At 34.8% G+C, this 14,510-nt stretch overlaps 1 long non-coding RNA gene across 1 annotated transcript in view; it reads right to left on the reverse strand.

Moving 5' to 3' along the window:
- Window positions 1-70: 70 nt before the first annotated feature.
- The window catches only part of LOC105371298 (uncharacterized), a 29,410-nt gene continuing 14,970 nt past the window's right edge, over window positions 71-14,510 (reverse strand). The window contains exons 3-5 of the long non-coding RNA XR_001752331.2: window positions 14,152-14,363; window positions 13,665-13,828; window positions 71-155 (exon numbers count right to left, since the gene is read on the reverse strand). This is a non-coding gene — a long non-coding RNA (uncharacterized LOC105371298). The remainder of the gene's footprint in view (window positions 156-13,664; window positions 13,829-14,151; window positions 14,364-14,510) is intronic.

The raw sequence follows: 14,510 nt of genomic DNA on the forward strand, positions 1-14,510 counted from the left end.
GAAAGACTGACCTTACCTTCTGAAAGACAGAGACTCAGGTTTGAAATTTCATGGCACTAAGATACATAAGATCATTTAAAAATGTTGAAATGTAGAACTTGTGCGTATAAGTCGTAAGACAAAAGCTTGAAAGCCTGTCATTTTCTTTTATTTTGCTTGCATCAAAGATTTGAAAGGGAAACAGTAAAAGAGATGGAGAGGAAATCAGAGGCTATTACTCTAACTCAGAGAACCTTTAAATCTTTACACAAAAGGGATCTCAGAAGAAGAGATCTGCCACAAATATTTAACTCTTTATTGGGCAAACCTTACAAACTTCTTATCTCAAATAAAGCTAAAATTTATTTGGCTTGACAGCAAAACTTTTTTCAGTTTAAGATGACTAACAATTCAGTAAGTATGAGAATACAGGTAGAATTAAAGTTGAAATTGAACTGATTTTTAAAATATTATTACCTGCTCCTTTTTTCCTGAAATATAAATTACTCTGTACTGATAGGAAATCCTGGGGTCTACATTCTTTTTTCGAGATGGAGTCTTGCTCTGTTGCCCAGACTGGAGTGCAGTGGCATGATCTCGGCTCACTGCAACTTCTGCCTCCAGGGTTCAAGCCTCCTGAGTATCAGGTAGCTGGGATTACAGACACGTGCCACCATGCCAGGCTAATTTTTGTATTTTCAGTAGAGACAGGGTTTCGCCATGTTGGCCAGGCTGGTCTTGAACTCCTGGTCTCAAGTGATCTGCCCACCTCGGCCTCCCAAAGTGCTGGGATTATAGGCATGAGCCACCGCACCCAGCCGAGACTACTTTCATAGTTAGAAATTTCTTCCCAATTTCTAAATTAACACAACTATTGATATTTCTTATAGAAAATAGGTAAATTAGTGAGTGTAAGTACAGAGGAATTACAGGCATATCTTGGAGTTTGGGTGCCAGGTCACTGCAATAAAGTGAGTCACAAACTTTTTGGTTTCCAGTGCATATAAAAGTTATGTTTGCACTATACTGTAGCCTGTAAAGTATGCAATAGCATTATGTCAATAAAAACAATGTAGGTACCATAATCAACAAATATTTTATTGCTAAAAATGCTAATGATTATCTGAGCTTCAGTGAGTCATAATCTTTTGGTAGTGGAGAGTCTTGCCTTGATATTGATGGCTGTTGACTGATCAAGGTGGTGGCTGATGGTTGTTGACTGATCAGGACAGTGGTTGCTGAGGGCTGATGTGGCTGTGGCAATTTCTTAAGACAACAATAAAGTTTGCTGCTTTAAGTTTTCCTTTCATGAAAGATTTCTCTATAGCATCCCATGCTGTTTGACAGCATTTTTACCCATGGTAGAAATTCCTTCAAAATTGGAGTCATTTCTCTCAAACCCTGCCACTACTTTCTCAACTAAGTTTATGTAATATTCTAAATCTTTCATTGTCATTTCCATGACGTTCACAGCATCTTCACCAGTAGTAGATTCCACCTCAAGAAACAACTTTTTAAATTCATCATGAGAAGCAACTCCTCAACCTTTCAAGTTTAATCATGAGATTGCAGCAGTTCAGTCACATCTTCAGGCTCCACTTTTAATTCCAGTTCTCTTGATATTTCCACCACATCTGTAATTATTTCCCCTACTGAAGTTTTGAACCCCTCAAAGCCATCCATGAGGATTGGAATCAACCTCTTCCAAATTCCCATTAATATTGATATTTTGACCTCTTCTCATGAGGTACAAGTTCTTAATGGCATCTAGAAGGGTGAATCCTTTCCAGAAGGTTTTCAATGTACTTTGCCCAGATCCATCAGAAGAATCATGATCTTTGGGAGCTATCATCCTATGAAATGTATTTCCTAAGTAATAAGACTTGAAAGTTGAAATTATTTCTTGATTTATGGGCTACTGAATGGATGTTGTGTTAGCAGGCATGAAAAGAACATTAACATTTTTGTACATCTCCATCAGAGCTCTTGGGTGATCAGGTACATTGTCAATGAGCTGTAATATTTTGAAAGGATTTTTTTTTTTTCTTAACGGTAAGCCTAAACAAGGTCTAAACAGTGGGTTTACAATATTTGGTAAACCATGTTGTAAACAGATATGCTGTCACCTAGGATTTTTGTTTTATGTCAAGAGCACAGTTGGATTAGAATTAGCATAATTCTTAAGGGATCTATGATTTTTGGAATGGTATATGAGCATTGGCTTCAACTTAAAGTCATCAGGTGCATTACCCCATTACAAGAGAGTCAGCCTGTCCTTTGAAGCTTTGAAGCCAGGCATTGACTTCTCTCTAGCTACGAAAGTCTTTAGATGAAATTTTCTTTTAATATAAAGCTGTTTCATCTACATTGAAAACTTTTTGTTTCGTGTAACCACTTTCATCAATTATCTTAGCTATGTTTTCTGGTTAACTTGCCACAGCTTCTACATTAGCACTTGTTGCTTCATCTTGCACTTTTATGTTATGGACACAACTTCTTTCCTTAAACCTCTGAACCAACCTCTGCTAACTTTAAACTTTTTCTCTGAAGTTTCCTAACCTCTCCCAGCCTTTGTAAAACTGAAGAAAGTTAGAGCCTTACTCTGGATCAGGCTTTAGTTTAAGGTTTAAGGGAATGCTCTGGCTGATTTGATGTTCTATCCAGACTCAAATCATTTAGGATCTTACAAAAAGCAAAACTCTGATATTCTATTGAGATTTATTAATCCATTCGCAGATCATTTGTATAAAATACTGAAAATCTTGCATCTGTCATTGCGTTGATCTTTAGGATTTATTTGCACAATCTTCGGGTTTGTTGAATAATAATTCCTTATCAAGATCCTTGAGCATTTCCACTCCACTCCAAAATACATATAAACTGGGTGAAAGATAAAGACTTTTCCAGATAAAGGATAGCTATTCCTCAGTAATGAGTTTGTGGGCAGTCCCATTTCTCCACTGGAAGCCTAACATAAAACTGGTTATATGAGGGAAAATGCTAAAAGGGCTGTCATGAAAACTAAAGCGAATTGTAAAAAAAAAAAAAAAAAAAAGCAAAGGCCTATTCATTATTTTCTAGTGATCTAAAGTAGCAACTATACAACCATTTGGCAAAATTAAGTTTTGACTTTTGCATCAGGAGAAAAATCTTTGTAAGCATTACTTTTTCATTATGCTCTTTTTATTGGTCATGGTTCTGTGGAATACCTATGGTTGTGAAATTTATTCCTGTTTCAAAGCACTTGGAAATGATATTTAGTGCTACTTTTTCAAAAGAAGAACTCCTTTTGTATTTGCTCAAATGTTTGCATTGTTTTTTCATTTAGCTCCAAAATGAATGCAATATGATTTATCAATCCAAGTATCAAAAGGATTCCTCAGAATGGCAAATTGTGACCAAACTTTAAAACACTAATTTAGAGGGAAGAATATTTCAGTGAAATCATTGAGTCCTGGCATCATCAAACTCAGCACCATAGAAACACACTTTCTAAGGAAGTCATCAAAATGAGTATACTATCTTTGGAGTAGAATATAGATTTCTCCATTTGGAGGTCAGATTCCAGAGTATACCAAAGACAAAAAAAATCATGAGTAAACCTAAGTTTTGTGTCAATATATCTGATACAAAAAGTCCATAGAAAAATAAATGCCAGTGTGTTCCATTGAAGTAATTTGGAATGGGATCAAGGGTACTGGATTCTGCTCCCAGCTCTGCCACTAAGTAGCTGTGGACAGTTTTGTAAATCACTTCACATTTCTAAATTTCAGGATTTGAATCCCAAAAGAAGGGGTTATATGGCCTAAAAGTCAAAAGTTCCTTACAGACCTGCTGCTTTGTAATCAGTGGGCCTCTCTTTATTTGCGGGGCTGACAGTGGGGAATAGGCGGATGACATTTTCCATGGCATATAATCAAGCCCCATATCTCTTAGAATTTCCAATGCATACTCATACCTGAAAGGCCACTATCTGGAAAATAACTCAAACTTAACCTCTCTAGATTCTAAGTGATCTCTATTATGTCTGTATACATACATTTGTCAGTGTAGCTCCCCAAATACCTTAGTTCTTTTTTATAGACCAGTCTTGAAATCAAGGGATTCATATAAAGGGCCTCCAGAGGGATCAGTCAGCAGGCAGCTGGTTAAGTCTCACATGTTGAGCCTTCTCTAGGAGTATGTTTTCAATGTACTGAAAAGTAACACTAAAGAAGTACAGAATTTAAAGTAGGTATTCTTGGACTTTTCTGTGAGTAACTTTGAAAGAACGAGAAAACAGTGGATGCAGTTGCCTGCATGACTTGGGTAATCAGTGTGGCTGAATCTACTTCTAAAAAAGTGCATAACAAATCAGTGGCCACGACTTTTTACTTAGGATACTGTGGCAATATATTTTACTCCTAATAATTGTACACCTCTCTTCTTTTTATCCCAATTGCCACTTGCCTTATTCAGACAATGTGTGACCTAGAACTTGGATGTTTCCCCCTAACTTGTCTTTTCCCTGAATGTATCCATCAAAATACCATTTTAAGCATGTTGCTTCCTGGTTTTAAAACCTTCAATGTCTCTACATGGTTTATTAGTAATGGCTAAAACCTACAGCTTGGAATTTAAGGTCTTCCATTCTCTGTCCCTATCCACACTTGCAGCCTTATTTTCTACTCTTACCTACAGCAAACTGTAGTCTTATTTACATAGGTCCAGTAGATCCCTCCGTGGTATTCACTACCACGTATTTGCTCATTCTGTCTTTTTTATTTTTTATTTTTTTGCCTCAGTGCATTCTCTCTCGTCTCCATTAGTGACATTCCATTCATCCTTAGAAACCCAGCATAAAAGCCAGCCTCCCTCATGAAGGTCGCTCTGTTATCCTTAATCTCTGCCTTTTGACATAAAAAATTATGTCCATTATTGCATTATCACATTATATTTTATTTCCACAACCTGTGTACATGTCTCCCTCCAAAGATTATTCCATATCCTGTTCATCTTTTAATTCTCAGTGGCACTCAGCAGAGTTCCTTGTGAAAAAAATTTTAAAAGAACTTTAATAAATTAATTCAATCAATCGCTACATCATTTTGACCATTTAAAACCATTTAAAATGAGTTTTTTTGCTTTGAACTTATCCATTGAAATTTTAATTTACTCTACATTTACTTTTCCTTTTAAGTACAATCTGAGAGCATTTATATGGAAATTGTGACATTAAGTAATGAGTTTGATCCTAAATGAATGACTACCATGGGAGCGATGTTGCCTTAGAATTTATCCAGATATTCTCATGTTATCAAATATATACTTATGTATATTATATATATATATATATTTACTATCTATGTATATGAAAAGAAAAATACCTCAAGTCAGGGAATCAAGTTGAAATTTTGGCACCAGTCACACTTTTTCATTATTATTATTAATTAGAGATTTCAAAAATTGTTTTTCCCCATTAAATATATAGCACACCATAAAATTGTTTTTGAACAATCCTTGACTGACTAATCACAAGTCTTATACAGTAAGAGCATATACCCTATGTTCAACAGAAAATCAGCCTGTAAGTGAAAGAATGTGTATGCATGCAAAGGAGAGAGCCAAAGGCAGTCGAACAGCTGAAATGGGGAAGAAAAATGGTTAAAGGGAGCATATCATCTGCCAGGTAGGCAAAAGGTAATGTCTAAATGACTAACGATCCAGTTAGAGAATTCTTTTAAGGCAAAAATGTGGCAGAGTAGAAAGTTATGAACTACGTTACATACTGTGACAAAAATACCCAGGGCAACCAAGTACCATTCCATTTTCAAATATATGTATGAGAAAAGCCATGAATAATGGATTTCATATAACATCTTTGCTATGCATTATTTAAAATATTTGTGCTGACTGAAAGTGATCATAATCTTTTTTCATTACAGTTTTGTGATGTGGTTAATATGCTCTGCTTGTTATTAGTGTAGGGACATGATACTGGATGTGTTGTTTTGAAGCCTACAACAGATTATCAGAATTTAGATGGAATTGTAAGCATTTGAAAAAAAATCTGTTGTAAAACATTCAAAAAGCTTTTCAATATCTGTACATTGTTTTGTCAGTAAAGGATAATGTAAAAATAGAATAGGTGCATGCTAAATTGTGCCTTGGTTAATTCTTCAATTGAGTGTCATGGCTTATTCTGCATTTCACATCTCAGCAAAATCTTAGGAAAGGGCTCTTTTCCCCCCTACACCTATCTTCAACTTAGTGGAACTTATCCAGGCAAGATAGAGTTACAATGCAAATAACTTTGTTGTGTGAAAATATCAGACTCTTCAACCAACATTTATACATTTAAACTTACTTCTCAGTTGGAAAGCATCTTAAAACCTGATGCCAAGTTTGGAAGCTACCTCAGAAGTTATTAAGATTGAATTGATTTTCTCACAAAGGAAGGTGCTGATGCATACTGGATATTAATTAAGGTATCATCAGATTGTTTTTGCAGCAAAAATATGTTACATTTGCTTAAAAAATATTTAACAAATGTCCTCCATGTTCCAGGTACTGTGCAAATAGTGCATCTATACAATATATATGTATATAGCAGCAAATTATATCTCTGTATATGCATATACATATATGAACATATATGTGTTATAGAGCATATATTACAGAACTTTTACATGTATATGTATATGTATTTATATATGTGTTTATGTGTATTTATAAAACAGTACAACTAACAGACTTTAATCCTTACATACAAATACCATTTCAGGGTCATACTGAATCCTAGGTCCACTGAGGGGTTTGAATGTTTGTAAATGTAGTTCTGATTGTTGAAATAGGCTGTTCTAGTATTCAGTCTAGTGTTTTCTCAGTGGTTGCTTTTGTTACTTAAAGTATGCTTCATACTATGCTGCATACATTTTTATGCATATACAATGAGATTTTATCACAATTTTATGCACAACTTAATGCATACATAATCAGATTTAATGCTGCTGCATGTTAACAGAATTACAACTGTTTGATTTACAGCTCTATCTGTAGAATGCAGAACAGTGCTCAAACATAGTAGATGTTCAATAAAATTTGTTGAATAATAAATGAGTGCATACATTGTTTGCATGTGTGTGCATGTATGTGTGATTACTATTTTCCCCATTTTGAAAGATGGTTGAAACTCAGGTTCAAGAGGAATTATAATAATACATAATAATTGTAATGGAATATACATAATATATATTTAATAACTAAAACCATCTACGCTTTTTGAGTGCTTAAGTAAGAGCCATGTCCTGGGCTCAGCCTATTCCATAATTTATCTCATCTAACCTTCACATACCATGTAGGTGGATTATTATTCTCATTTTACAGATGGGAATACTGAAGCTCAGAGGGATTGAGTAATTTTGCATGGTATCCTAATGTGAGCTACTGGCAGAGCCAGAAATTAAAATGGTTCTTTTGTTTCAAAAATTATTTGTTTATTTCAATAGTTTTTGGGTTATAGGTGGTTTTTGGTTACATGGATGAGTTTTTTAGTGGTGAATTCTGAGATTTTATTATTATTATTATATTATTATTAATTTATTTTTTACCCTTGCTCCACCTTTTCCAATTCTGAGATTTTAGTGCACCCATCACCCGAGCAGTGTACACTGTACCCAATATGTTGTCTTTCATTTCTCATCCACCTTCCAGCCTCCCCTCCCAAGTCCCCAAATTCCACTATATCATTGTAAGTTTTAGCATCCTCATAGCTTAGCTCCCACTTATAAGTGAGAAGATACTTTATTTCCATTCCCGAGTTACTTCACTTACGCATTAGTCAGGGCTCTCCAGAGGGACAAAACTAATAGGATGCATGTACATATGAAAGGGAGTTTATTAAGGAGAATTTACTCACATGATCACATGGTGAAGTCCCATGATAGGCTGTCTGCAAGCTGAGGAGCAAGGAAGTCAGCAGTGGCTTAGTCTGAGTCCCAAAACCTCAAAAGTAGGGAAGCTGACAGTGCAGCCATCTGTCCGTGGCTGAAGGCCTGAGAACCCCTAGCAACCACTGAAGAGTCCAAAGGCCGAAGAACCTGGAGTCTGATGTTCAAAAGCAGGAAGCATCCGGCACTGGAGAAAGATGAAAGCTGGAAGACTCAGCAAGTCAGCTTATTCCACCCTCTTCCACCTGCTTTTACTAGCCCTGCTGGCAGCCAGTTGAATGGTGCCTTCCCAGATTGAGGGTGGGTCTTCTTCTCATAGTCCACTGATTCAAGTGTTAATCTCCTCTGGCAACACCCTCACAGACAAACCCAGAAACAATACTTTACATCCTTCAATCCAATCAAGTTGACATGTTGACATTTAATTTTAACCATTATAACTTAGAATAATGGCCTCTAGCTCCATCCAAGTTGCTTCAACATATATTATTTCATTCCTTTTTATGGCCAAGTAGTATTCCATGGTGTTTATGTACCACATTTTTTTTTTAAATCTACTCGTTGGTCAATGGGCACTTAGATGGGTTCCATATCCTTGCAATTGTGAATTATGCTGCTGTAAACACACATGTGCATATGTCTTTTTCATACAATGACGTCTTTTCATTTAGGTAAATACTCAGTTGTGGGATTGCTGGATTGAGTGGTGGATCTACTTTTAGTTCTTTAAGAAATTGCCATACTGTTTTCCATAGTGGTTGTACTAATTTACGTTCCCACCAACAGAATAAAAGTGTTTCCTTTTCACCACATCCATGCCAACATCTATGGTTTTTTGACTTTTTAATAATGCCCATTCTTGCAGGAATAAGGTGGTATCTCATTGTGGTTTTAATTTGCTTTTTCCTGACGATTAGTGATCTTGAACATTTTTTCATATGTTTATATATTTTCTTTTGAGAAATGTCTATTCATGTTCTTTGCCCACTTTTTGATAGGATTATTTGTTTTTTTCTTGCTGATTTGTTTGAATTCCTTGTGGATTCTGGATACTAGTCCTTTGCTAGATTCATAGTTTGTGAATATTTTTTTTCCCATTTTGTGGGTTGTCTGCTGACTCTGCTGATTCCTTTTGCTGTGCAGAAACTTTTTAGTTCAATTAGGTTTCATTTATTTATTTTTGTTTTTGTTGCATTTGCTTTGGGGGTCTTAGTTATGAATTTTTTTGCCTAAGCCAATTTCCAGAAGTTTTTCCAATGTTATCTTCAGAATCTGTATGGTTTCAGGTCTTAGATTTCAGTTTTTGATCCATCTTGAGTTGATTTCCGTATATGGTGAGAGATGGGGATCCAGTTCCATTCTTCTACATGTGGCTTGCCAGTTTTCCCAGCACCATTTATTGAATAGGGTGTCCTTTCCCCAATTTATGTTTTTTTGTATGCTTTGTTGAAGATCAGTTGGCTGTAAGTATTTGGCTTTATTTCTGGATTCTCTATTGCATTCCATTGGTCTAAGTGTTTATTTTTATACTAGTACCATACTGTTTTGGTAACTACAGCCTTGTAGTATGATTTGAAATCTGGTAATGTGATGCCTCCAGATGTGTTCTTTTTGCTTAGTCTTGCTTTGGCTATGCAGGCTCTTTTTTGGTTCTGTATGAATTTTGGGATTGTTTTCTCTAGTTCTGTGAAACATAATGATGGTATTTTAATGGGAATTGCATTGAATCTGTAGATTGCTTTGGGCAGTATGGTCATTTTTAAAATATTGATTCTTCCCATCCATGAGTATGGGATGTGTTTCCATTTATTTGTGTCATCCGTGATTTCTTTCAGCAATGTTTTGTAGTTTTCTTTGAAGAATTTTTTTTTTTTACCTCCTTGGTTAAGTATATTTCTAGGCTTCTTCTTCTTTTTTGCAGCTGTTATAAAAGGGATTGAGTTGTTGATTTAATTCTCATCTTGGTTGTTGTTGGCCTATAGCCATGCTGCTGATTTTTGTACATTGATTTTTGTCACCTGGCACTTTACTGAATTTGTTTATTAAATCTAGGAGCCTTGTGAATGAGGGTTTTCAAGGTATACGATCATATTATCAGTGAAGAGCAAAAGTTTGACTTTCTCTTTTCCAATTTGGATGCCCTTTATTTCTTTTTCTTGCCTGACTGCTCTGGCTAGGACTCCCAGTACTATGTTGAATAGAAGTGGTGAAAGTGAGCATCCTTTTCGTGTTCTAGTTCTCGGGGAGAATGCTTTAAACTTTTCCCTATCCAGTAGGATTAAAATAAGTTTTGTGTTCTGATGCCAAAAGTCCCACTTTTATAAAGTTTGCAACATTTCCAATAGTTCAGATGCCAGCATGTCCTGACCATTGGACCTAATTGACTATAATAAAGAAGGCATACTGTAAATTTTGCCATAAACTAAATTGTTATTAATATTAGTGTTAGTAGAACCATGAGAGCCTGCCTAAAATTATTTAGAATAAGGGAACAAGTGTTTGGCTAGGCTTCTTCCCTTGATTGCAAAATTCTTTGGTATAAGGACTTTGATTTTAACTTCATAAAGTAGAAATAAATTCCCAGCCAAACATCTAAATTAGTATTTGAATATTTATCTAAGCCAAGCCAAGAAAGAATGATTATTTTTTAACTTAGAAACCTTAAGCACAGAGTTAGTATAATATACATACAAAAATGTATGTATTATAAACATACAGTTAACTGAAGTTGCACAAACTAAACACATCTATGTATTTGACCCCAAGATTAAAAAAATAGAATGTTACCAGAACCCTATCAGCACTCTCTTCTCCCCTCCACCTACCCATGATCCCTTACAATCATGAATTCTTTGCCCTGATCCCAGGATAACCACTATCCTGACTTCTCAACTTCAATCAGTATAGATTAGCATTGCTTGTTTTTGTACTTTATATAAGTGGTACCATGATCCTTCTTTTTTTTGCATATGGTTGTTCTTCATGTTTTATTTAATCATGCAAATAGACTACAGTTTATTTATTAGTGCTTCCAGCAATGAACATTTGGGTTTTTCCAGTTTTTGCAGTACTCTTCTGTATATTCTAATACATGTATTTTGATGAACATATTTGCACATTTTTGTTGAGTTTGTATTTAGAAGTAGAATTACTGGGTCATAAGATATGTATATATTCAACACAGTAGTTACTGCCAAATATTTTTCCAAATTTATGTTGCCACCAGTAGTATAAAAGTTCTGATTGCTCTACATCCTTACCAATATTTCATCTTTTTCATCTTTTTTTAAATGTTAGCCATCATAATGGGTGTAAAGTAGTATTTCATTATGATTTTAATTTACATTTCCTCATGACAAATTGAGATCAAACAGCTTTTCATATGTATATTGGTAATGCTTTTGTGAAGCATGTATTAAAATTTTGGTCCATTTTTCATTTGGGATGTCTGGCTTTTTGGGTATTAATTAGTAAGGGCTTATTTTATATTTTGGATACAAGCCCTGTGTTGGAGATACATCTATATCTATATCTATATCTATATTTATATCTATATAACTATCTCTCTCTCTATGTATATATATATCATAGTACTTCTGCTTTGTGGAATGAGAGTAAAGGTTGTATATAGAGTGATAGTTTACATTTATATGTATTTTCTTGTGTGTGTGTGTGTGTGTGTGTGTGTGTGTGAAAGAGAGAGAATAAGAAGACAGCAAGAAAGAGAAAGGCTAAATTTTCTGAACATTATGTAACAAATGCTTGAGTTCCTATGACTATTACTCATTTTATCTTCTTTACCATGTGGGTCCCTAACATAGTGCTCTCGAAGACGTATAGGGAAAAAAAGGTACGGACTTCCTGGTGATTTGCAAAATAAAATTCTTTGAGATTAAGACATTCACATTTCTTCCAGACTAAAAATGAAAAAAAGAGGACCTGGAAATTGTTTGTCAGGAGAACCCTAAGCAATGTAGTTGGCAAATTCATATAGTAATAAAACTTTGGACCTACATAGGGTTGGGTTAAATTTATTTCAAACATTTTCTACTCTAAAGCAAAACCAAGAATTAAATGAGAACAACTTTTACAAGCCTCAGTTGAGTTTCAATGCTCGAATGTCAAACAATATTAAATCTCAATTTCCAAGGGTTAGACACAGCAAGATGCCACTTGCTCTTTTCATGGCAAGACTCTCAATATTCTTTGTAGAGCTTGTCATGGTGTGTGTCCCAATTGCTGTCAAACAGGGTGCTATGCATTTTGCTAAATGTAGGTTTGAATTAAAAATCTTCAGACATTTATAGAAAACATTTATATAGTTTAGATATAGCTGAGGGGATTCTGGAAAAGACAAATGACCTTATGTTCTTCCCATTAAGAACTGACCAGAAAAAATATAATGACTGTGTTCTGTTTAGAGTAACAAAAGAAGACTGATAGTTTAATTAGCCTAAAATAAAGATTATAAGTGACAAGTCCTGTGCTGAAGCTAGCAAGAAAGATGTCATGATATATTTTAAAACAAAAGTACTTCTTGCCCCTCTGCTTCAAGGAAGGAAATGTATTTTTTTTTCTCCAGATACAAAAATCCTTTTATGAACCTGTCTGACACAGCACCTTTAATCATTGTCACACACGTTCCATTTCTTAAGTCAACTTGCTGATTTCATGAATTGTGTTAGAAAGCGGGAAGGCTATATTTTCCATTTTCATTAACTGACTCATTTATGCATTCCTAGCAAAGGAGAAAATATCTGTGAAAAGGACTGAGTGGAAATGTGCTATTTTTCTTCTTTGTAAAGTGGGAATCAGGAGGTTTGAGGCACACAGGGCAGTCCTTGCTGTTCAATCTGCAAGTCTGTTCTCCGTCTACAGCATGCTGTATTTATTTGGATAGCCTTATTCCTCTTTCATCTTTGAAAAGAAATCAGATCCTATCTATATTCAGGTTGGACAATATTCAAAATCTTGTCTAAATCCCCAGTTGTGTAAGCAGTTTTCATGGTTCATGTTCATTTGAAAGAGTAGTTCTCAAGTACTGAAACATATGTTTTCAACACAGACCACAGAATTTTCAGAACACTTTCAAAAGGTTCACAGATGTTTTGAAGCCCCTCCATACCTCCCAAAATAAGAAACTTTGAAATAAAGGCAGATCACTGGAACATTGTAACTTATTTCAAAGCCAATGGTAAAGACATATGTTAAAGCCATGTTTTCCATACACCACAGTTGCCATGCTCATTGCATACCAGATCTAGGAAGTGAATTGGTTAATATCAGGAGCTCTCCTGCAATAAAAGATTTCAATATAAATTGCTTCTGGTGCAGAATCTAGACAGACTTGATTTATTAGGGCAAGCCAGGAGAGAGAATAGAAAAAAATGTAGAATATAGTCCAGGAAGAAAGTGGGCAGGACCCAATTTATAGATGAGAAACTGAGATTCAAAAAGAATAAGTTTGTTTGAAATTACACAGTTTAAGAGAGTGTATGAAGTTTGTAAAAGCAGCTCTAGATGATTTGAAATTCTTATTCTGAGCTTTTTCTCACTGTTCCCTAATTATACCACCAAGATGATTAGCTCCGAAAGGTTCACTTCTTCTGAAAAACAACAAAGATTAAATTAAAATGGAATAGATTTGACAGTTTTAAATGACCAATGACATTTTGACCAAAATAAAAGTATCTTATATTTAAATAGGGCTGTGTAGTATGCATTAGTTTCCAGATATGCTCATTAAACTCTTCTCACCATTTTTGTAGTAAGAAGATGATGTTACATCGTTGTGCTATCAGGCAAATCAAGAATTGGTTACATCTAGGTCCCTTGAGTGTAGTTTTGAAGTCTGAGAGTACAAGGGTGGATGTTTGGGAGAGAAAGTTTAGAAAGCGATGCCTTATTTCTTGTACATCAATCTAAGAGAAGAAAACAAAATTTCTGAAATATTCCATGGTTATTTTCTTAAAGAGCAATAATGTATATGCAGAAAATAAAAGAAACACATGATCTTTCCATTCAGAATTTTTTACCCTTAAATTTTAACTCTTGCTCTCTCTTTATATGTCACTCTATATAAAAATACACACACCCATATACATGCACACACATATACACGCACACACATATACACACACACACAAACATATAAGCAAAGTAAAAAATAAAAAATAAAAATTCCTCAAATTACTTTCAAAAATATAATTCCCACTACATATGTAGCTTTTAAAGATTTGCTTACCTAAAGGGGTCAAGTTTGTACATTATTCCACATCTTCCTTTCGTTCTAGCTGATGAAGGGAGCTGTCCAAGTCATGTTCAGTGGAAATTATTTAACTCATTCTTTTGAAAATTTTCCATGTCATTTTGTTGTTTTGCAGCCATTATTACACATCAAGCTTCTAAATATTCATATGAAGCAATGATGTCTTTGACACCAAACTACATCAGTTCCTAAGTCAGAGACAAAGATGGTGGTTTGGTGAGATCCGCATCAGATTCCAGGATAGTGAACATTATCGTATGTTCTATTAAGTATGTTAATTAAGATGACTATATAACTATCATTTAAACAGGAGTGCTTTTGAAACGAAAGGGGTG

The sequence above is a fragment of the Homo sapiens genome, chromosome 16 (assembly GCF_000001405.40).
Source record: "Homo sapiens chromosome 16, GRCh38.p14 Primary Assembly".
NCBI lineage: Eukaryota > Metazoa > Chordata > Mammalia > Primates > Hominidae > Homo > Homo sapiens.